Source organism: Homo sapiens, chromosome 13 (assembly GCF_000001405.40).
Source record: "Homo sapiens chromosome 13, GRCh38.p14 Primary Assembly".
NCBI lineage: Eukaryota > Metazoa > Chordata > Mammalia > Primates > Hominidae > Homo > Homo sapiens.
The window spans coordinates 25,281,288-25,303,090 of record NC_000013.11 but is presented as its reverse complement, the minus strand read 5'-3'; the positions used below and the strand labels follow the sequence as shown (position 1 = coordinate 25,303,090).

Sequence of the window (21,803 nt, the reverse complement as noted above, 5' to 3'; positions counted from 1 at the left end):
AAGACAGCTGGTTAAAAATCTGACAAGAATCAAAATTATTTTCATAAGAATGTAAGGATCAAGAGAGCAAGACTCTTAATACCTAAAACAGAGCCTTGCACATGGGAATCTGTCCAATAAATATTTGTTCCACGAATGACAATAGCCTAAGCAGGGTTGTGGAACTGGAAATAAAGACAAACAGAAATGGCAGAAGTAACATTATCAGAACCTGTTGTTGAGCGAGTAGAGTAAGAATAACGGAGGTATGGATGAAAATTCAAATTTCTGAATTGACTGTGTAGTCCGTGGTTCCTCCTCCCTCCCTTTTTAAACTGCAGGTCATGCTTAAGTATTTGCCTTTTAAATCTACAGCCACATCTTTTAAGCTTCAGGAAGTATCTTGTTGACAGTGTGCACACTCCTTAACTTTATGAACCCCTCCACCTTTATCTTAAAAAAAATTGAGTTCTAAAGCTTAAATCTCTCATTAAAATGTCTCACCACTTTGTTTCTTTCTGGATAGTTATGTTTTTGTCGCCACCTGAACTAATGGGTTGCACAAAAACAAGGAACATGCTACCTACGTTTTGTAATTTAAGTAAAAGACAAATTGAGTTATTACAACACAACATTCTCGCATCAGATATACTAATCTGCACATACTGCAGAAAATTACCACTAATAAACACTGTAAAAAAGTGTTTTTGTTTTTTTTAACAAAAACAGATAAGGTCCCATGTGGCACAAAAGCTTGAAAAGCTGGTTAAAAACCACAAAGTTATTAAAACACCGTCATATCCAAAACCGCAAATGCTGCAATGAAATCGGAATTATCTATCATAAAACTCCACAGTATGCTATAATTTCATTCATTCATTCAATGTTCATTCTATGCCTAAGACTGACACATCGCTAAAGCTCCGGGGTAGACCCCAAGGCCCTTCCACGCAGTCAAGACCCCACTAGGTCCAAATAATGCCTGAACTATACGTGGATTCTGGAAACCTCACAGCACAGAACCCATCCCGCCCTCCACTTCACCAGGCCGCGCTGGGCCCGGGTACCGCGGCGAGAGGCCTACGACGCCGGGCGGCTAGATTAAGTGCTTCTCTCCAGCCCCACTGGGAAGGAAGCCAGAGGGAAGAGACAGGATGGGGACACCAAGGGAGCTTTGCGGGGGTGGGGGTGGGGGTGAATCCGGCCCAGGAAGGCGAGAAAGTGCGGTTACCTAGACGCTCCCGTTCCGAAGGAGAAAACGCCGCCTGTGCTGGTCCCGCCGGCGGCCACGGTGGTGGAGCCCAGAGTCCCGGACCCGAAGGAGAACCCTGTGGACATGTCTGGCCAGGGCTCGACGCCGTCAGCAAGGCGAAATGGGTCTGGGACACTTCTCTCGCCTCAAAGCCGAGGCGGGCCGGGCAGCATCTCTCTCGCCCGGCACGGACCTGGCGGGAACTTCCAGCCCCAACGGCGGCGAAGGCAAGGCTGAGGGGGTGGAGCAACCACGCAAAAGTACGCCCGGCGCTCGCCGCGCGCACGTAGCCCGCCGGAAGTGTAACCGTCACGCAATGAGCCCTGGTACGTGAGTGGGGGACGGCGAGCCGCGCAAGGTACGCTGGGACCAGGCGAGAATAGGCGTACTGCCTAATCTCTTAAAGGAGTAGGCTCCCAGAGTTTAAAAACAGTAAAACCATTTCTGTCATTTTTTAGTTCTTCTATCGTAGCATCTGTACTGACATAATCCGCACTTTAGGGTGATGAATGTCAATTGCTACTTCTATCTAGCCTCCTGCCAAAATTGATGCTCAGAATCGCAGAATCGGGGAGGTCCCTCCTGAGCATCTCTAAGCTCCCCACTCAGAAAAGGAGGCGGCTTCGGGCTTTCGTTGGCTGCCGCCCCATCCCTAAGAAGGAAGGGGAGCGTGTCTGCTTCCTGAAGGTTCGGAAATCAATCGAAAATAATCCATGCAACCGTCCCACGACGTGAGCCCCACCCCTGCGCCCCAGGCCTCGCGGAGCCAGTTGGTCGCAGTTGTTGCGAGCCCGACGCCCAGCCCCGAAGGGGGCCCAGAAGAGCGTCCCAGGCGTCCGTGGGGTGGCCGGCTGTGGTCCTGGCGCCCAGAAGTGGCCAGGCCCGCTGGATTTCCTGGGATGCGGTCAAGTCCACAAATACTGTCCGTGCATCCTGATGCTGGAGGGCGGGACCTTGGGCCGAGCGAGTGTGGCTCCGCCAGAAGGGCCCTCGGACACAACCGGTGCTGGAGGAACTACAAAGTGGAAGGATTAGGAAACGCACAGGAACATGTACGAAAGAAGGCGAAATGTGAGGTGTAACTTACATTTCTAGGATAACTCAAGAAAAATTCGCGTTTAAAGAGAACCTCTCTGGCGAAGCATCAGGAAAGGCTTCCTGGTGGTGGTGCATTCGAGGGTTGTCATCATAGTGTTAGTTTTTATTTTTCCCTCAGGGATTGTTACATTACTCCCCCAAATGGTTTTCCTACTCGTGATCTCTAACAAAATCCATCCCATAAGCAACCCCCGGATTTATGATCTAAAAAGCCCAGTGGCTCTTTAGTTTGGCACTTGATGACCTCCGTATGATTAGTCTTTCTAACCTCATCTCACAGTTCTCCCTAATTCAGTACTTTAATCTTCCGTTGAGCTTGGGCATTGCCACCAGCTGTGGACTGAACTATTTCCCTCCTCCCCCAATCCATATGTTAAAGCCCTACCCCACCCCAATATGTTGGTATTTGGAGATGGAGCCTTTGGGAGGTAATTCAATTTAGATGAGGTCACCTTGGTGGGTCGCCCATGGCGAGATTAGTGCCCTTATGAGAAAAAACAACGAAGAGCTTGTTCTCCTCTGTGTGCCATGTGAGGACAGAGCAAGAAGGGGCTTTCACCTGGAACCCAAACTGCCCCATCTTTATCTGGGACTTAGCCTCCAGAATTGAGAGAAGTAAATGTCTGTTGTTATAGCCACCTCAGTCTATGGTATTTTGTTGTATCAGCCAAGCAGACTAATACACCACCTCTGTGTTTGTATAATTAAAAAGAAACGTACATTTTATTTTGTTTTTTAAATTTAATTTATATTTTACTTTATTTTGAGACAGAGTCTCGCTCTGTTGCCCAGGCTGGAATACAGTGGTGCCATCTCGGCTCACTGCAACCTCCGTCTCCTGAGTTCAAGCGATTCTCCTGCCTCAGCCTCCCAAGTAACTGGGATCACAGGCGCACGCCACCACGCCCGGTTAATTTCTGTATTTTTCAGTAGAGATGGGTTTTCACCATGTTGGCCAGGCTGGTCTTGAACTCCTGGCCTCAAGCGATCTGCCCACCTCGGCCTCCCAAAGTGCTGGGATTACAGGCGTAAGCCACTGTGCCCGGCCATAACATTTTAAACGTCATAGAAGTCATAATGGGAATGATAAAAAAGAAAAAAGGGATATATTTGGATTAAGATATAAATAAAAACTTCATAGTTATCGAACAGGAGGCAAAAATAAAAGATTGTTGTGAGTTTTAAAGCTTCGGTGATATAGAGAAAGCTATTTTCAGTGATGGCTATAGGGTGGTCAGTAAGAGGATTGTTCACATAAAGTCTAGGAGACTTCCTTTTGACTGAAAAAAAAAAAGATCCTGATGATTTTTATGGGAAGATAGAAAGGCACTCCCTATGTCTTTTGATTTTCTCGTGTATTCTTTCCAAAACTATTGAAGAATACCAACCTACAATTAGTAATAGCAAAATGGCTGGCACTTAAATATATAATAATGAACAAGACTTGTAATATTCACAGGAAAGAAAGAACATGTAAAAATATCATAGGGACTAATTTCCTAATAGGGGAAACTGGGTGTGAGGAATATGAGCACACTATGTAATAATTCTGTAAATCTGTAACTTTTTTTTTTTTTGGATGGAGTCTCACTCTGACACCAGGCTGGAGTGCACTGGCTAGATCCTGGCTCACTGCAACCTCCGACTCCCTGGTTCAAGCGAGTCTCCTGCCTCAGCCTCCTAAGTAGCTGAGATGACAGGCATGCGCCACCATGCCCAGCTAATTTTTGTATTTTTAGTAGAGCTGGAGTTTCACCATGTTGGCCAGGATGATCTCAATCTCCTGACCTTGTGATCTGCCTGCCTCGGCCTCCCAAAGTACTGGGATTACAGGCGTAAGCCACCGCGCCCAGCCACATCTATAACTGTTTTGAAGCTGAACGTTTATAAAAGAAATAAAGGAAGTCTGACTTAGATTAAAGTTTGGGTTTTGGGGGAAGCCATTCCAATTAACAAGCAAACTATCCTTTCAACTTTATCAAAATTTTAGTGTAGCATTTCTTGCCTTGTATCTGGCAGAATATTTTAAGTTATACTACATAATAAATCCCCAAATCACTCAAGGAGGAGCACTGCAGAGACAAAATCTGGAATATCTGATGAGCAGTATTGCAATCTACCACTAGATGCACTAAGTATAAGACTAAATCTTGGAGACCCCTTCTCATCTCATATACCTTGTGCCGCTTGTCCTATTAGTGAAGAAAGAAATTACATCCTTACATTCTACAGAAATGAAACTCCAAAGAAAGCAGCTTTCAATAAGCTCAATGGTTTGGTTAGTGAATGGAAAACAGTAAAATAGCAGTAACTGAGCATTACGCATACATAAGTCTGAATCCTATCTGCAACTGAGCAGAACCATGGAGCACTGGAATCTGGCTTAACCTTCCTGACCTAGTCTAGGTAGAGTAACAAATCCTATCCCAAAGGATCTTCTAAATATTACGCTTTTTAACATTAGAGGACTTGAACCTATGTGTCAGTTCTATGTGAATTGCTGCTTCCAGGGATGAAGCAAGTGCTTCAGATTCTAAATTCTAGAGTAGGCCATCTTGTCTTTCCTTGCTTCTTATATTGTAAGCATTCTGTTAGAGAACTGCATCTTTTGCTGATTTGCCAGCAGGATGATGACATTGTTAATGTCATAATCAAACTGAATTATCCAAACAGAAATAGCACTGTAAAAAATTTACTTTTTTTTTTTCTTCCTTTTTGAGACAGGGTCTGGCTCTGTGCCCAGGCTGGAGTGCAGTGGCACCATCTTGGCTCACTGCAACCTCTGCCTGTCTGGCTCAAGCGATCCTCCCACCTCAGCCACCCGAGTAGCTCGGACTACATAAAGGTGTCCACCACCATGCCCGGCTAATTTGTTTATTTGTAAAGATGGGTTTTCACCGTGTTGCCCAGGCTAAAACTTCTAATTTGTGTTTGCATTAACATATCTAAAATAGGTTTGCTTTGGTGGGGGTGTTCAGATCAGGATAACCATTTGAGAACCTCTCTCAGCAGCGGTTCTAAGACAGAAAAGAAGTGGGAATCTGAAGTCTATTGAAAGGAGTCTGTAATATCTCCAGTTCTGGTCCTCTGAAATATCCAGAAAAGAGGTTATCTTTTAGAAATTACATGTAACCATTTGCCTTCAATCACAGTCTTTATCTTGAAAATTATTCTCAGAAAAGGTCTTAAATATTTTAGGGTTTTAAATATTTGAGTAGTGTCCTTCCACTTTAAAAATTCATTAAGTTCTCAAGTGATTGAACAACAGCAACAACCAAATGTATATAGAGAGATAAATCAATAATGCAAATTATAGGATGACTGTCAAAACAAGGTATATGGGTGTTCATTGTAATAATTTTACAACTTTTCTGTAGGTTTGAAATTTTCAAACTACAAAGTTAAGGGGGAAAAGCTTAAAGTTAAAACAAAAGTTCCCAATCACAGGTCAGAACAGTAATTGTCTATTTCCTGATGAATTTTTTCACTCATCACCCAATAAATGAGAAAAATAAATGTAAGGAGTTATCCATAAAGCTAAATGTATGTAATTCAAACTATAGTCATTTATTTTGAAATACACCCTTCCTATTGGCAGAGATGGGACCTGAAAAAGTTGCTTTTATGACTTGACAACTTTAGTGGATAAGGAAGGCTGAGAAGAGAAACTAAGCAATGTCAACATAAGATAAATGATGGACGCTGTCTTCTGGCCACCAATATTTATTCTTTCCTTCCTTCTTCCTTAAAACCTCAGTTTTCTCCAAAGTGGCAAACTAACCAGATAAACAACTATATGTCTCCAGCTTCCTCTATAGGTAGAGGTGGGTAGGAAACATGAGATGAGACTTCCAGAATCACTCATTTTCTTGGGGACAGATAGCTGGCATACATCTGTTTTGACTTTCTTCTCCTTTCTTCCTACTACCTGGAACTTAGACACAATGGCTGGATCTCCAATAGCCATCTTGGTCCATGAGTGACTTTAAGAATGGAAGTCATATGCAAAGGAGGGTATCACAAAAAAATAGTATGAGCTTAGGTCGTGATGGTATACTGTAGAGGCACCATACCAGCCCTATACTACCTACCTTCAGATTTCTTTTAAATGAGAGAAAAGTCTATTTGTATGTTATTTAGTCCATTAGAGCTGAATCTTTATTATTCATAACTAAATGTAATATACCTTTTTAGTAGGAGTTCACCCCAAAAGATGAATTTTACATGCGTTACTGAGGAAACCTAGGAAATATCCAAGATTGACAGAAGTCAATAATATATATAGGGCTGGAATATAACAATAAAAATGCCACCAACAACCTATTATGTAATTGCCTTGAAACACGCCAACAGAAAGGCAGTGGTCAACATGTAGTCTCAAAAAAATGGGAGCCAAAGAGGAACAATATATCTGCACTTATTGCTCTCACCTTTCATGGAAACAAGTCATTGTGCTTGACGGATACACATATTCTGGTCACTAGACAGATGTCCACCTCCATGAAGCAGGAGTATATTCATGTCTTTTCCATGTCATGGATAAAAGTTCCTTAAGCCTGCCCAATTCCCTTTGCTCTGAGCAGTTTCCCCATAATCTAATTAGACCTCTTTTATTGCTAAGAATAGGAACTCTCTCAAGGTAGTTCAAGCATAAGTGTGTGCATATATGGGGGAGGTGTGGGAACACAGAGTTATTGTATAGACACAGACAAGTTTCAAGGGAATCCAGAAAAACAGGAGTAGCCAAGCTTTGTGTATATCAGAAACCAAGAGTCAGCTTGTAAGAAATGAACTAGAGAGAGCTGCACCTACTTCAGGGAATTAAGGCATTCTGCAAGCCCCAGAGGTTGGATGAAGGGTTAAGTAATTGACTGAGTTGCCCAAGGGAGAAAGAGGAGGCATTCAGGCATCTGCTGCACACAAATCAGTGATGCCAGATTATAAAAGGTTTTGTCAAGTAAGACCTGATGCTCGGGGAGCCAAAACAGGAGCTAGAAAGCAAGCAGGAAGAAAGTGGGCCAAGACGGTCAAAACAGATTCTCCTACCCCGTCCCACCTCCATCCCACTGTCATCAAACCTGGGTGGTATAGGGAAAAGGAGAAGCTTTGAACTGGATACATTTTGAAGTATATATGTCAGATTACTCTAAAATATGAGAGAAACAGGTACTTCTCCAGGATCAACTCAAGCTCCTATTGAGGAGAGGTGAAGAGACAGCCAGCAAAGCAGGCTTGAAGGGTAGCGGTGGAGCAAAAGAAAGATACTGTCTGCTCGCACCCCACAGAACCCAGTGTTCAATAAAGTGGTCATGTAGACTAGAGCATGACTAACCACTGTGTCGGCCAATGTCAATAGCAAGTGCAAAAACCCAGACTCAGATACCACTTGGCTAAATCATCAAGGTTTACTTATCTAAAGGATTTAGAGAGAAGGACACTTAGAAAAAAAAATGGCTAGTAACCTTTTTAAAGACAGAATGAGGAGCCAGTCTCTGAACCCCTAGATCCTGAAAGAGTAAGCATCACACCAACCTTATGGAAACATAATACTAGTATGTCTTCCTCCAGCCCAGCATGAGTATAACCTGGACATGTGCACTTCCTTGGGCCAGGTGTACCTCCTCAATTGCAGAGGTGCAGAGTACATAATGTGATCACTTGAATACAGTATACAGTGCATTCAGACAAATTTCATCCTGAGACAAGTTCAGTCTCCCCAAATGAACACAGCCTGATCCAAGCACATTTCTGAACTCCATGGTGAAGATCTAGAATGAGGATCGACAGGTATCTAGATATTTCTGGGAACTCTAGGATTTATTCTGCTTAACATGTACATACACACAACTATTATTTATTGAGCATTTATTTATTATTATTATTTTTAGAGATGGGGGTCTTCCTCTGTCACCTAGGCTGGAGTGCAATAGTGCAATCATAGCTCACTGCAGCCTCGAACTGCTGGGCTCAAGTGAGCTGAGTGAGCTCTGATTGCTCCTGCCTTAGCCTCCTGAGTAGCTGGGACTATAGGCAAAGGCTGCTATATCCAGCTATTGAGCACTTATCGAGGCCAGCTACTATGCTAAGTACTTCTGTTCATTATTTCATTAACCTGTACAAATAACTCAATGGATAACATAATGATAAGTACCACTATTTACAGATAAGGACATCAAGAGTTAGAGAAGTTAAATAATTTGACTAAATTCACAGCTAGAAAGTGGCAGAAATGAGATCTGAATTCAGATATCTTTGATTTCACAGAGAATTCTAATCATAGACTTCACCTTCTTCCATAAAACTCCTAGAAATAAAAGCCAAGAAACGAAATCAAGTGAAATATTTTTGCTCTTTTAACGATTTATGCTTACTTAAGAAGCACCAAGATTAGGAATTGTGATTGCTTTTATAATATTCCATTCGCTGGTAAACAGTAAACATAATTATAAAAGCATCCACTATTTACAATAGCAAAAGACTTGGAACCAACCCAAATGCCCATCAGTGATAGACTGGATAAAGAAAATGTGGCACATATACACCATGGAATACTATGCAGCCATAAAAAGAATGAGTTCATGTCCTTTGCAGGGACATGAATGAAGCTGGAAGCCATCATTCTCAGCAAACACACAGGAGCCGCAAAACAAACACCGCATGTTCTCACTCATAAGTGGGAGTTGAACAATGAGAACACATGGACACAGGGAGGGGAACATCATACACTGGGGCCTTTCAGGGGTTAGGGGGCAAGGGGAGGGAGAGCATTAGGACAAATACCTAATGCATGCAAGGCTTAAAATCTAGATGGGCCGGCAGGGTGCGGTGGCTCACGCCTATAATCCCAGCACTTTGGGAGGCGGAGGCCGGCGGGTCACGAGGTCAGGAGATCGAGACCATCCTGGCTAACAAGGTGAAACCCCATCTCTACTAAAAATACAAAAAATTAGCTGGGCGTGGTGGCACGTGCCTGTAGTCCCAGCTACTCAGGAGGCTGAGGCAGGAGAATCGATTGAACCCAGGGGGCAGAGGTTGCAGTGAGTCGAGATCATCATGCACTGCATTCCAGCCTGGGCGACAGAGCAAGACTCCATCTCAAAACAACAACAACAACAACAACAACAAAACAACCTAGATGATGAGTTGATAGGTACAGCGAATCACCATGCCACATTAATACATATGTAACAAACCTGCACATTCTGCACATGTATCCCAGAACTTAAAGAAAAAAAAAAAAAAATGCAAGACAATAAATTTCTGTTGTTTAAGCCTCCCCCCCAAAAAAAGCACCAATATTTTATTGTTAAATGTAAAATATTTTCTTACATAATAATAAAAATATCAAATATCTCTTGTGCCTTTTATAGGGGCACTTTTCATTTTTTTTTTAGTGGTGTAAAAATAAGCATTAAACATTACAGAGAAACAAATGCAGAAAACTCTGATTACATGGTGGCTCATGCCTGTAATCCTAGCACTTTGGGAGGCCGAGGTGGGCAGATCACTTGAGTACAGGAGTACGAGACCAGCCCGGCCAACATGGCGATACCCCGTCTCCACTAAAAAATACAAAATTAGTTGGGTGTGGTAACGCACACCTGTAGTCCCAGCTACTCAGGAGACTGAGGCTTGAACCCAGGGGGCAGAGCTTACGGTGAGCTGAGATGGCGCCACTGCACTCCAGCCTGGGCAACAGAGTGAGACTCTGTCTCAAAAAAAAAAAAAATCTGATTCCTCATTATTTCAAACCGTAATAGTAGTTTCTTTCATGCTTTTTGTGAATTTTAACTTTCAATTTTTTGTGCAAAAAAACTCCGTCTTTAATTGCAAAGTCAATTAAGAAAATGATATTTTCTTAAAATCATCAAATATTAGTCATGTCACTATTTTAAGTTGTTTTTGTAGGCACATGTAAGAAAAAACCTGATGTCTCCTAGAAGTTGGATGATAAAGGAAATTATAAATATATACATTAAAACAAAATTAATTAAGTTACAGATATGTCTCCTTAAAAAGACAGCATAGCTTCTATACCACATCTTGATATGAACCTAGCAGATGAAATGGCATATCTAAAGGCAGAATAGGGCCCTTAGAGGGAGGATTGTTCAATAATGAGGCCTAGTTTAGGGAAATCTAATATTTCCCTCAAATAATGAATCTTCAGGGCTGCCTCCAGAGGCTTGCCTGGCCCAGAGCCCCTCCTGCCTTTTCTTGTGGTTGGTACATCCTGATAGGCTGGCTGATGCATCAAGATCTTTGCTGAATGGCAACAGCCTCTCCTATCATGCAGCTAGTTTCCCCTGCTCTGAATTCATGCTAACTAAGCAATCTTCTCAACTGTAATGTGACCTCCCCCCACGCTTTATAGGAAGAGAACATGCTGACTTTCATTCCCATCTGCTTTCTTGTGGTCAATGATTACACTGGTATTTTGATATTCACCAGTCTAACTAACCCTAAAAACAAGTCTCTTCCTGATTATCTTCCTTCAGATTAGTTTGTAAGTTGCAGTGGACTACTCAATTGAATTGTAACAGTATTAAGTGTGCTCTTGGCATAATTGATGAGATCAGGCAGCAGAAAATGCTTAATCTGATGAATTTTATTGTATGTCAACATTTTTAAAGGGAAGGATAGGAATGTAGGAACACAGGTGCATATTGAATCCTCTGAAACTGGATCGTGTGCTTTATAAATATTACTAACAATAAAACAAATATTAGTGAATGAACCTCTTCTCTTTCCAATGTCTCTTCATTTCCCACCCCTTGTATTGAGGGGAAATGGGTCTCTTTGTTCCTTGCAGTAATCACCAAGGGGAGAGCTGGCAACAGAGAGGCAGATGGCCTGGATCATCTGGATCCTATATATGGTACCTGACTGGGGCTTCTACTCAGCTACTGCTGCTAACAGGACATCTGTTCCCAGAGCTCCCTGTGCCTTTCACATGCACAGGGTCTTCAAATAATGATGTAGGGACCCCCAACAAAAGTACCAAGCCCCTACCCCATCATTCAATAATGAAGCTTAACAATAGGCAAATTCTCCTATAAAGAGTAAGTTTCCAATCAGCATTTTATTGCTGGAAAGGACCATTAAAGATGATTAGATATTGGAGGATCGCTTCTGACATCAAAGTCAGAGACCAAAACAGCAAACGTAGAGAGAACCTAAAAGGAATAGGGTTCAGGAAGCAAAAATTACAAGAAATACATAAATAAATGAAAACTATTATTCACCTAGGAGAGATGAGCTCTTACATGTATCAGAGCAGGAGGCTAGAAAACAAATAAATGAACAAACTGAAAAACAAAGAAAAATAGGAAAATGTATGTAACCAAAAAGATCTCTTCACTTAGAAACAATAACATTCTAGTAGACAAACCTTGTGCTCAGATTTTGGATTCTTTTTTTTTCCAGTTAGGTCATCTTGGGTTCAGAACAGATCTTGGATTCTAATAACATTTTCCAATAAAAGGAACCAGGGCTCCTTGGGGAAATGGATGATTCTAGGGCTGGGGTGGGAAAGATGCAAGATGAGCCTGGAGCATCTTGTGGTATAGCATACCTGTATTCCCAGCTACTCAGAAGGCTGAGACAGGAAGGTTGCTTGAGCCCAGGAGTTTGAGGCTGTAGTGCACTATGATCACACCTATGAACAGCCACTGCACTCCAGCCTGGGCAATATAGCGAGACCTCATCTCTAAAAAATAAATAAATAAATAAAAATAAAGTCTATTTAAAGTGAAAACACTTAGAAATTAAAAATATAAGCCAGGCACAGTGGCTCATGCCTGTAATCCCAGCACTTTGGGAGGCAAACCTTGTGCTCAGTAGACAAAAAAGGAAGAAAAAGAAGAATCCAAGATCTGAGCACAAGGTTTGTCTACAATTATATATGTATGTGCATGTATATGTGTGTATATATATATACATACACATACATACACACATGTACATATATATAATTGCAGCAATTAAAAATATTAGAAATAATGGAGTATTCTAAAAATATTAGAAACAATGAAGTATTAAGAATTTCCTAGAGAGTAGATTAGAAAGGTAAATTCTTAAAAAATAGGAGTGAAAGAATAGTAAAATTAGGAAGTCAGACCAGGAATTTCTACTGAAAAAAGAAAGGGGCTGGGCACAGTGGCTCACATCTGTAATTCCAGCACTTTGGGAGGCTGAGGCAGGCAGATCACTTGAGCCCGAGAGTTTGAGACCAGCATGGGCAACATGGAAAAAACCCGTCTCTACAAAAAATACAAAAATTAGTCAGGCTTGGTGGTGCACGCCTGTAGTCCCAGTTACTCAGGAGGTTGAGGTGGGAAGATTGCTTGAACCTGAGGGGTTGAGGCTGTAGTGAGCTGAGATTGTGCCACTGCACTCCAACCTCAGTGACACAGTGAGACCCTGTCTCAAAAATAAATAAATAAAAATAAAACAAAATAAAAAGAAAGGAGAAAGGACAGGAGGGAAATAGGAAAGAAGAAAGATGAGGGAGAGAAGAGAGGTGAGAAGAATAAAAAAAATTTTTAAAGGGAAAAAAGAAAAAGGAAGAAGGAAAAAGAACGAAACAGTAATTATTACAGAAATAATACAAGAAAATGTCCCAGAATTGAAGGACTTATGTTTTCAGATTACAGAGCTCAAAACACTGGGCAGAAAAATAAACAAGAAAGCTAAGTTTTATTATGTTGAAATTTTAGACCATTGGAGATAAAGAGATCCAAAAAGCATCCTGAGAAAGTAGAAGCGACACCTAAAGGGAAATCGGAATGCCAGCGGATTTCTGAACAACTGCATTGAAAGTCAGGATATGTCTCTGGGAGCTTTCAAAATCCTAATTAAAATTACAGAATTCTAGACCTAGCCAAACTTCCCGTCAAGGATTTATGCTCCATTCACCCTTTCTCAGGAAGTTAATACAGAATATACTACATCAGAATAAAACAATGCAAGTAAGTAAATCAAGAAAGATAAACCACAGGATCTAAAAATTCAGCACAAGTAACCAACACATTTCTCAGGCCCATGGTGAGGAGAGTCCCAGGATAATATCCATTCAGTAGGCTCAGAGAACACAAGTGCAAACTGGAGCAAAAGGAGAAAAGGCTCCTAGAAGCATCTGGAGACCTCTAAAGAGATGTCTCGAGGAAAGATAATGGAACTGAGTGATTGCCAGATTTAACCATAAGGAATATTCTATCTAGTGCAAGAGTATTCAACTCAAGAGTCAAAGAAACGTCATTTAATATTTTATCTGTTATTTTACTTTCTTTCTGTAAAGCTAGGTAATTTTCTAGCCTATCATATTAACATAAATAGAACTTTAATATGGATTTTGAGAAGCAAATCAATGTAAAACAGTTGTTAAGAATACAGACTCTGAAGTCAGCCTGTCTGGCTTTATAACATGGATCTTGGCTTTATCTGCTATGTGATATTGGGCAAGTTACTTCACTTCATTGTGTCTCGCTTGTCTCATCTCTAAAATAAAGAAAGCAATAGCATTTTCCTCAGAATACCCGTAAAGCACTCAGTACATTTGGTCACCTGACATCATTATGATTGCCTCTCTGTGAGAATTGGTAAAGAGAGGACACAGGAAGTGAGGAGATGAGAAGAGGGAGGATAATCTGTAGGGGAATGGGGAAGGAGGAAGTTGTAAATTGGGAGGAAAATGATATAAAAAGTTTTGTTAAGAAAGTCTTGCTGTATGCTATACAATTCACCTCTTTCTGTTTTCTCAAAAAGCAATCCTCAGTAAAGACCTACATTACTTTTCTCTCTCTCTATATATATATATATGTGTATATATATATATATGTATATATATATATATATATATGTGTATATATATATATATATATATTTTTTTTTTTTTCTGAGCAGGATTTGTGGGGTTTTTTTTCGGGGGGAGGGGGTGGATGTGATACTGTACTAAGGTTGGTTTCTAGGTGGTTTAATGTAACTCTTATTACATATTTAGCTTAGAGGAGTCAGCAACTCCACCGCAAAGGCTGTTGTGTTTAATAACCATCTCCATTGCTTTGGCAATCTGTCTGAAACATCGTAGGCACTCAAAACAAAACAAACCAAGACAACTTGAACAAAATGAAACAAATAAGTGAAACAAAATTTTTAATTATAAAAGAAAATTTAGATGTTAGGCTTTTCTAACACCAATCACAGTATGAAAGATGAAGATTACAAACCTTAACCGGCTTAGTACAGAATACTTACAAAACGTAGAGCAGAGTTTCTCGGACTCTAACTCCTGACCTCAAGTGATCCGCCCGCCTCAGCCTCCCAAAGTTCTGGGATTACAGGCGTGAACCACCGCGCCTGGCATAGAGCAGGGTTTCTCAACCTCTGCACTGTTGTCATCTGCCGGATAATTCCCTGTAGTTGGGGGGTTGGTCTGGTGCCTAGTAGGGTGTTCAGCAGCCGACTTGTGACTTGGCCTCCACCCACCAGTTGCCCCCCGCCGCCACCCCCCCACCACCACCATTTGAGACAACCAAAAATATCTCCAGATGTTACCAAATGTCCCCCGGGGAGAAAACTCACTCCAGGCTGAGAAGTACCACATTAGACGTGTTCTAACAAAAATTACCTGTAACCCTCACCTAGAAATGTAAACTTTTTGTTTACATAAATAAAAATTACAGAGCACGGCTACATTGAACTTATTGTTCCATAGTCAGTTTTTTCTTCACTCAGTAATGCAGCATTAACATTTTCGTTATGTGATATCCCTCTACAGGATGAGTTTTAATGGATGCTGGTGCTAACATCGTATGAAATTGAGGTAGGAGGCGGGACTCTGACACCAGACCAGATTGAGGACTAGCTAATCATCATACTTTACATAAGGAATCCGTAGGATTGGAGAGTTGATTGTTTCAAATAAGGCTGGTTTCCTTATTTGGTTATTTCCTTAGAATAATAACTCCAAATCTGATTATTTCCTTAGAATACATTCTTATGAGTAGAACTGCAGCTCAAACTAAATTTGGTGCTGTCCAGTGGTATGGCGATGGACTTCAGAACATCCTCCACTCTTGCCCTCACCCCACAAGAACCCTTTACTCGGGATCCATTCTCACGCAGTCTTCCTCCCCGACCGCCCCGCGCGTCCGCTCGGCGGGATGACAAAGACCGCCTCGGGTGGGGTGGTGAGCAGTACCGGCCTCCTCCAGCAGGGGGCGCTGTGGGATCCGCCGCTGTCCGGGACGAACCAGCAAGCCGCTCTCGGTCCACACACGCTCTGTCTGCCTGCCCCGAGTCCCCCGGGAGGCCGCGGGGTTTGGGGAAGTGTTTCTAGGAGACGGCGCTCACCGGCTGCACCTGCGCCGTTGACGCCACCGGGGCCGGCAGACAGACCCGCGGCGCTGGCTGGTGGAGGGAGTTCCCGCTTGCTCTCTGTCGCTGTCACCGCCCTGTTTCTGTAGCCGTATGGTACGCCTGTGAGACCGGCTGCCGGCTGACGTCTCCTTGCGATGGAGCATATCCGGACGACCAAGGTAGTCGGGCGCGGGATCGCCAGTCTTCAGGGGCCCTGCTCTGACCCGGCTGAGGCAGGAGGAGACGAAGGCTCTGCTGGCCTGACTGGGGCTGGGAGCCGGCCCGGCGGAGACCCGGCCCGGGGCGGGAGGGTCTGGCCAGGCCTGGTCTGGGAGGGCAGGGTTAGCTTGGGCCAAGCGGGGTGCAGAGGCCTCCTGTACCTACAGGAGCAGGGGTCCCACTTTCAGCATCTTGGAGTGCGTAGAGATAAGTCTGGGAAAACTGGTCACCGCCCTCCTAGCTCTACGTTTTCTCGGGCAAAATTGGGGCTCCTTTAACTTTGGAGTCTTTCAGCCTTTCGTTGCCTCATCAACCGGAAAACCGTCTTCAAATTAACATTATGATGCTGTGTAAGCTTGTCCTTGCTCACATTTCATTGTCCCGTGTCACAGATTCACAGTACGAGTTTTGGAGGAACCGAGATCAGCACTCCGCTCCACCTCCCTTTGCTGTCTCGGTCTCCAGTCTTTCGCATCCGGTGTTTCCGTGTCTGTGCTTCATACTTCAGGCATTGTCCTGTGTCAGTAGTCAAGAGTTCTGGAGAAGGGAAAAATGTTATTCCATATTTTAAAAGGTCGGATGCAGCTTTATTCGATTGACCTTATTGCACTCCATGCTTAATTTTTGTGTGTGGAAGACCTTCATTTTGAGAACGAACAAATATTTTTATTTCGTTACAAATTTAAAAACGGAAGGAAATGACATCAGAATGTTACCAAATTACGTTTCCAACGACATTTAAGTTTAACTTTGAGAGGGAGAAAAACATAAATCGAGACGAGAAGAATAACATTTTAAAATCACTGCGAGCCCACTGCAAGGCAGCCTCTTGACGTTTTGGCAAAGCTGAAGCCCTTTAGTTGCTGCCCATCTTAAAATTACGGCTCATTTAGGGAACCACAGATGTTCGTTATCTTCATTGTTCCAAGAAGAATTTGTGTTTTTAAAAATTTTTTAAATGTTTCACAAACCTTTTAAAGGTATACATAAATTTTTATTGGAGCTTGTCTTTAACATTGTGCATACCGTATCTAGTAAAATTGAAGATTCTGAAAACTAACCCCTTAACATTTTTTTTTAAGAGAAGAAAGATAAAATAACTTGAGAATTCAAGTTGTGGGTACTTAAATTTTGAAAATGGAAGGGTGCTTAAGTCTATAACCAAACTCGTAGAAGGTGCACAGAGGAAAAGAGGACTAGAGTGGACATTGGATCAGGTTCTTGTATTGGTTCCAGATATGTATTATGTAGTAGCTAAGTGCACGTGACTTCCTTCTGCATCAGTTCGAAGCTCCTCTATTTTTCATATGCTTTCTACGGTGCATAGCACACAATCGAAAACCGGTAAAAGGCTGGGCACGGTGGCTCACGCCTGTAATCCCAGCACTGTGGGAGGCCGAGGTGGGCGGATCACTTGAGGTAAGGAGTTCGAGACCAGCCTGGACAACCTGGCAAAACCCCATATCTACTAAAAATACAAAAATTAGCCGGGCATGGTGGCAGGCGCCTGTAATCCCAGCTACTCAGAGGCTGAGGCAGGAGAATTGCTTCAACCGGGGAAGTGGAGATTGCAGTGAGCCAAGATGGCACCAGTGCACTCCAGCCTGGGCAATAGAGCGGGACTCAGTCTCAAAAAAAAAAAAGAAAGCCGGGTGGGGTGGTATGTACCTGTAGTCCCAGCTACTCGGGAGGCTGAGATGGGAGGATGGCTTGAGCCCACGAAGTGGAGGTTGCAGTGAGCCAAGATTGCGCCATTGCCCTCCAGCCTGGGTGACATAATTGGGGGGGGGGGGGCGGAAAAGAATAAAAAATCAGTAAAAGTAAACTGAATCTGATCAACTAGAGCAAATCCTATTCTTAGGTGGATGATAAGAGTGAACAGACTTGGAAAATATTTAGGATCCCTTGGTTATTTTAAATCTTTCCTCATTCAATTTATTATGAATATATATCTTTGTTTTTATTTGTAGAGTTGTAGCCCCTCTTATTAGCTCTTTGAAAGTTGTCACTGGTGACTTTCATTTTGTCTGATATTCCTCCTTATCTACCAACTGATGAACTTTTCTTCAAGTAATGCTCTGATTTTGACTTATCTTTACACAGTGGTCTCATGCTAGTGGTTTAATAAGGCCTTTTTAGAGACTAAGAAATTTCTGATGAATTGTCTATTAAAACTACTTTTCAAATATGCTCCTTTATTACTTTGGGTTGTTTTTCTAGTATTGGATCACTACTCTGGAGTAATATTAAGTGAGTGTATGTAGACCGCAAATAAATATTTTCTAGGTACCTAGTATGTGCCAGACACTGTATTGACACTGGGTATATAACAGCAAGATAGAGGTGGACCTCAGGGTACATTCTGTTAATTGTTGTGGGGACTGTAACATGTTCTTAAATTATTAATGTATTGGGAAATAACTTACTTTTAAAAGATTGGTTTGAACATAGCCAAACTTTTGTTTCCATTATGCATAGCCTTCACCTGGATTTAGTTAGTTTGCTGCAAAAATAAGTGTAAGTATTTAAAAAGCAAAAGTGGATTGTTTTAGATTTATTAGCTGTTTTGACCTCTATGTAGTTTAGTCATTAGGATCAAAATTGACCGTAGAGTGTCCTTTATGACTATTTAGTGATTTTTGTTGTTCAGTCAGCTCTATTTGAAAAGTAATAATTACCATTTATTGAGCAACTATATGTCAATATAGCCAATTATACAATATTATTACTTTATAATATGTACAATTGTATAAATCTGTTAATTTATACATTATCATCACTGATCTCTTAAATAACCCTGTCAGTTGGGTAGTATTATCTCCATTTATAGGTGAGGAGGAAATAGGCTTAGAGAATTTAAGTAACCTGCTCAATTAGTTCACAAGAGATAGAATTAGTATTTAAACTAAGGTGTGTTTAACTCCAAAGACTATGTATGCTCTTTCCAGTGCCTCTCTAGTTTTAATCTAATTGTTAAATGTGCATTAGTATTAATTCAGAAATAAATGCTGATGATAATTCTAAGAGCTTCCCCCCCAAACCTCTTTTTGTCATAAATAAATAATATTTATGCGGTATTGTTTTTAAATAATATTTAGGATCATTATTGCTTGCTAACCAGAGATTTATCAGATTAAGTATTTTAGCTGAATACTAATGAACATATTTATCATTCTGTTTTGGTCACATTTGGTTTACTAACTGTATAGCATCAAAGATGCCAAGTCCCTGAATCTGGATTTCTGAAAGAGCATTTCCAAGCTACACTTATGAATCATGCAGCTACTACCTATCGCTTTGAGCTCTCATTTTGCCATAATGACATAGTCCTGCCAAGAAACAATGAGAAATATGCAGAGACAGTTCTTTATGCAGTCTTTCTCCTTTCCCTGCCAGTACTTTGGCTGACATTATATATTGATGTCAAATGATATTGTCTTACCTGTGAATGGAACTTTACTGAATGGAATGGAAGAACCTTTTTTAAGCTATAAATGAAAGGCTGATTGCTAGCGTTTGTAATCAAATGGAATGTCCCATAAAAATCTGATCCTACTAAGGCCCAAATTGAGTTATTCCAAAAGTTATGCCTAACATGTTCTTTAGCTTGCTCCCTCTTTTTGTCATTAGAATGTGAGATCATCTATGTATGTATACAAATATACCTTCCCTCTGAAAGAAGAAAGGAGATATAAAAATAAGAATGGATCAAGAATAAGGAGAAACTGATATTATTTAAATTGTCTTTGAAATAAAAGCCAATAGGTTTTGAGGAGCACCTGAATGCTTTTTTCCAAGTAAAGTGTTGTTTTGATTTTCACTAATACTATCCCATTTTACAGGTGAGGAAACTGAAACCCTGAGAGAATTAATAAAATAACTTGTCCTGGCTCACACAGTTAGTTCTACCAAAGAAGAGGTGGAGGTGGGAACTTGAATGTAGGTCTTTCTGATAGCAAGCCTATTCTCTTAACCACACTCTCTTGCCTCACAGAATAATAATCTAATCAAGAGATTTGATTAGTCAGTTGGGGCAGTGTGAGTAAGAACAGAGAGGAGGGGTGGATAGAAGAAGCTTAGGTGGTCAGATTTTTTTCTAGTAGCTAGCTGAATGTGAGGATCTAGTGTGAGGGAAAAGGTCTGGCCTTGAGTAGATTTGGGAGGGAGTTGTTTGTGTTTAGGTAAATCATTGAAATTTCTATTGTGAATGAGTTTATGCAAGGAGAATATGTTGAGACTCTGTGGAGAAAAGTCTAAACACTTAAAAAGGGACAAGCAGGCCGGGCATGGTGGTTCACACCTGTAATCCTAGCACTTTGGGAGGTCGAGGCAGTAGGATCACTTGAGGTCAGGAGTTTGAAACCAGCCTGGCCAACATGGTGAAACCCTGTCTTACTAAAAATACAAAAAATTAGCTGGGCATGGTGGCGGGCACCTGTAATCCCAGCTACTTGGGTGGCTGAGGCATGATAATCACTTGAACCCAGAAGATGGAGATTGCAGTGAGCCGAGATCGTGCCACGGCATCCAGCCTGGGTCACAGAGCAGCACTCTGTCTCAAAAAAAAAAAAAGAAAAAAGAAAAAAGAAAAAAGAAGAGGGCGAGCAAGCAGAGGAGGAGAAGCCGGATGCATTTGGAAGAGGTGAAGCACAGATGGGAAGGTGACAGTCTTCCGTGTTCTAATTTCCTTCTCTGCTCCATCCTCTGGCTGCTTCCTCCTCCTTGGGCCAGGCACTGTTCTAGGTTCAGACAAAAACTCCTGCCCTTATAACTTATCTAGTTGGAGAAGAGGTAACAATAAACAAAATTAAGTTCAATGTATTGTATGTTAGATGGTGGTAAATGCTGTGGATAAAAATAAAGCAAGCCAGGGCTCTGAAGAGTATGAGGGTTGAGGAGGGGGTTTAAGGGAGGACTGCTATAAATTGAGTGGTTAGGGAAGCTCTTACAGAGAAGGTGACTCTTGAGTATAAACCTGAAACTGGTGAGGGAGTAAGCCATCCCCACATGGGGGATGGCGGGGAGAGTCCCAACAAAGGGAACAACAGGGGCAAAAACCCTTTGAGGGCATGCCTGGTTGCTAAGAACAAGCAAGACAGCTAGAGCAGGGTGAGTGAAGAAGAGCACAGTAGAAGATTAAAGTTGGGGGACAGGGGCAAGTTACTGTAGTCTTGAAGGCCACTGTAAAATCTTTGCTTTTTTTGAGTGAGATAGGAAGCCATTGATGGAATAAGCAAAGTAAGAAAAAACTGAAAAGTGCCCACTGGATTTACGATCTGAGGTTACTCTCTCCCCTCTTGAGGTCCATGACTGTTTCATTTGATAATTTATGCAGCCAGACACTGTTCTAGAAATTGGGATACATGAACAGAAACCATAATCTCTGCCCTCCACTTCCTGCACACAACTTGATGTGCTTTCTTTTTGAAAGCTAATTCTTGGCAGGATGTCAGTGTGAAATGATTCTGAGAGTCCTAGATGAGTGCCTGGCTATAGGGAAGGAGTGCGACAAGCCAGAGGAACAGTGATGGTGCACTTTCTGCTTCAGTAGCCACAGCGTCTATTGTTATGTAGTTGTAGAATAAGTACAACTGTTGGTCACAGAAGTCTGAAGAAGGCCATTGGTCCCTTCCTGTCCCAGAGGCCACTTTTTCCTCAGGGATAAAGAGGTGTCTGAATTTTCTGAATGTGATTCTGTTTGTGTGACTCCCTGTGTTTTTCATTTGGAATCTTTTCTTCTTTTTTTTCTTTTCTCTTCCTTTCCTTCCTTTTCCTTTCCTCTTTTCTCTTTCCCCTTTCCTTTCTCCTTTCTTCTTTGTCCTTTCTCCTGTCTTTCTCCTTTCCTTTCCAACAAGATCTTGCTCTGTCACCTAGGCTGGAGTGCAGTGGTATGATC

The 21,803-nt window shown here is 41.8% G+C and overlaps 2 protein-coding genes across 22 annotated transcripts in view, besides 7 other annotated features; one reads left to right on the top strand and one right to left on the bottom strand.

Moving 5' to 3' along the window:
* The window catches only part of NUP58 (nucleoporin 58), a 48,176-nt gene extending 46,710 nt beyond the window's left edge, over positions 1 to 1,466 (bottom strand). For 7 of the 9 annotated variants that reach the window (NM_001411001.1, XM_047430807.1, XM_011535329.4 and 4 more), the window contains exon 1: positions 1,211 to 1,466. In NM_001411001.1, the coding sequence (NP_001397930.1) occupies positions 1,211 to 1,317 (107 nt within the window). In that variant the 5' untranslated portion in view covers positions 1,318 to 1,466. Of the gene's footprint in view, positions 1 to 82 lie in introns of all 9 variants that reach the window. The other 2 variants (XM_047430805.1, XM_047430806.1) reach the window with 1 other exon arrangement.
* Positions 1,171 to 1,220: an enhancer, noted in NCBI's record as "active region_7487". NCBI's record gives its function as "activates an Ori minimal core promoter by ATAC-STARR-seq in GM12878 lymphoblastoid cells {active_cell/tissue: GM12878}" and the evidence as "EXISTENCE:reporter gene assay evidence [ECO:0000049][PMID:35858748]".
* Positions 1,331 to 1,410: an enhancer, noted in NCBI's record as "active region_7486". NCBI's record gives its function as "activates an Ori minimal core promoter by ATAC-STARR-seq in GM12878 lymphoblastoid cells {active_cell/tissue: GM12878}" and the evidence as "EXISTENCE:reporter gene assay evidence [ECO:0000049][PMID:35858748]".
* Positions 1,571 to 1,810: an enhancer, noted in NCBI's record as "active region_7485". NCBI's record gives its function as "activates an Ori minimal core promoter by ATAC-STARR-seq in GM12878 lymphoblastoid cells {active_cell/tissue: GM12878}" and the evidence as "EXISTENCE:reporter gene assay evidence [ECO:0000049][PMID:35858748]".
* Positions 15,290 to 15,459: an enhancer, noted in NCBI's record as "active region_7484". NCBI's record gives its function as "activates an Ori minimal core promoter by ATAC-STARR-seq in GM12878 lymphoblastoid cells {active_cell/tissue: GM12878}" and the evidence as "EXISTENCE:reporter gene assay evidence [ECO:0000049][PMID:35858748]".
* Positions 15,560 to 15,899: an enhancer, noted in NCBI's record as "active region_7483". NCBI's record gives its function as "activates an Ori minimal core promoter by ATAC-STARR-seq in GM12878 lymphoblastoid cells {active_cell/tissue: GM12878}" and the evidence as "EXISTENCE:reporter gene assay evidence [ECO:0000049][PMID:35858748]".
* Positions 15,560 to 16,223: a biological region, named in NCBI's record as "H3K27ac-H3K4me1 hESC enhancer GRCh37_chr13:25861006-25861626".
* Positions 15,603 to 16,223: an enhancer, noted in NCBI's record as "H3K27ac-H3K4me1 hESC enhancer chr13:25861006-25861626 (GRCh37/hg19 assembly coordinates)". NCBI's record gives its function as "activates a minimal SCP1, AML or CMV promoter by ChIP-STARR-seq in primed H9 embryonic stem cells {active_cell/tissue: H9 hESC(primed)}" and the evidence as "EXISTENCE:reporter gene assay evidence [ECO:0000049][PMID:30033119]".
* The window catches only part of MTMR6 (myotubularin related protein 6), a 41,267-nt gene continuing 35,066 nt past the window's right edge, over positions 15,603 to 21,803 (top strand). For all 13 annotated transcript variants that reach the window (NR_169592.1, NM_001385238.1, NM_001385231.1 and 10 more), the window contains exon 1: positions 15,603 to 15,867. Coding sequence is in view for 11 of the 13 variants with exons in the window: in NM_001385231.1 (NP_001372160.1) it covers positions 15,844 to 15,867 (24 nt within the window). In the remaining 2 variants the exon portion in view is untranslated. The remainder of the gene's footprint in view (positions 15,868 to 21,803) is intronic.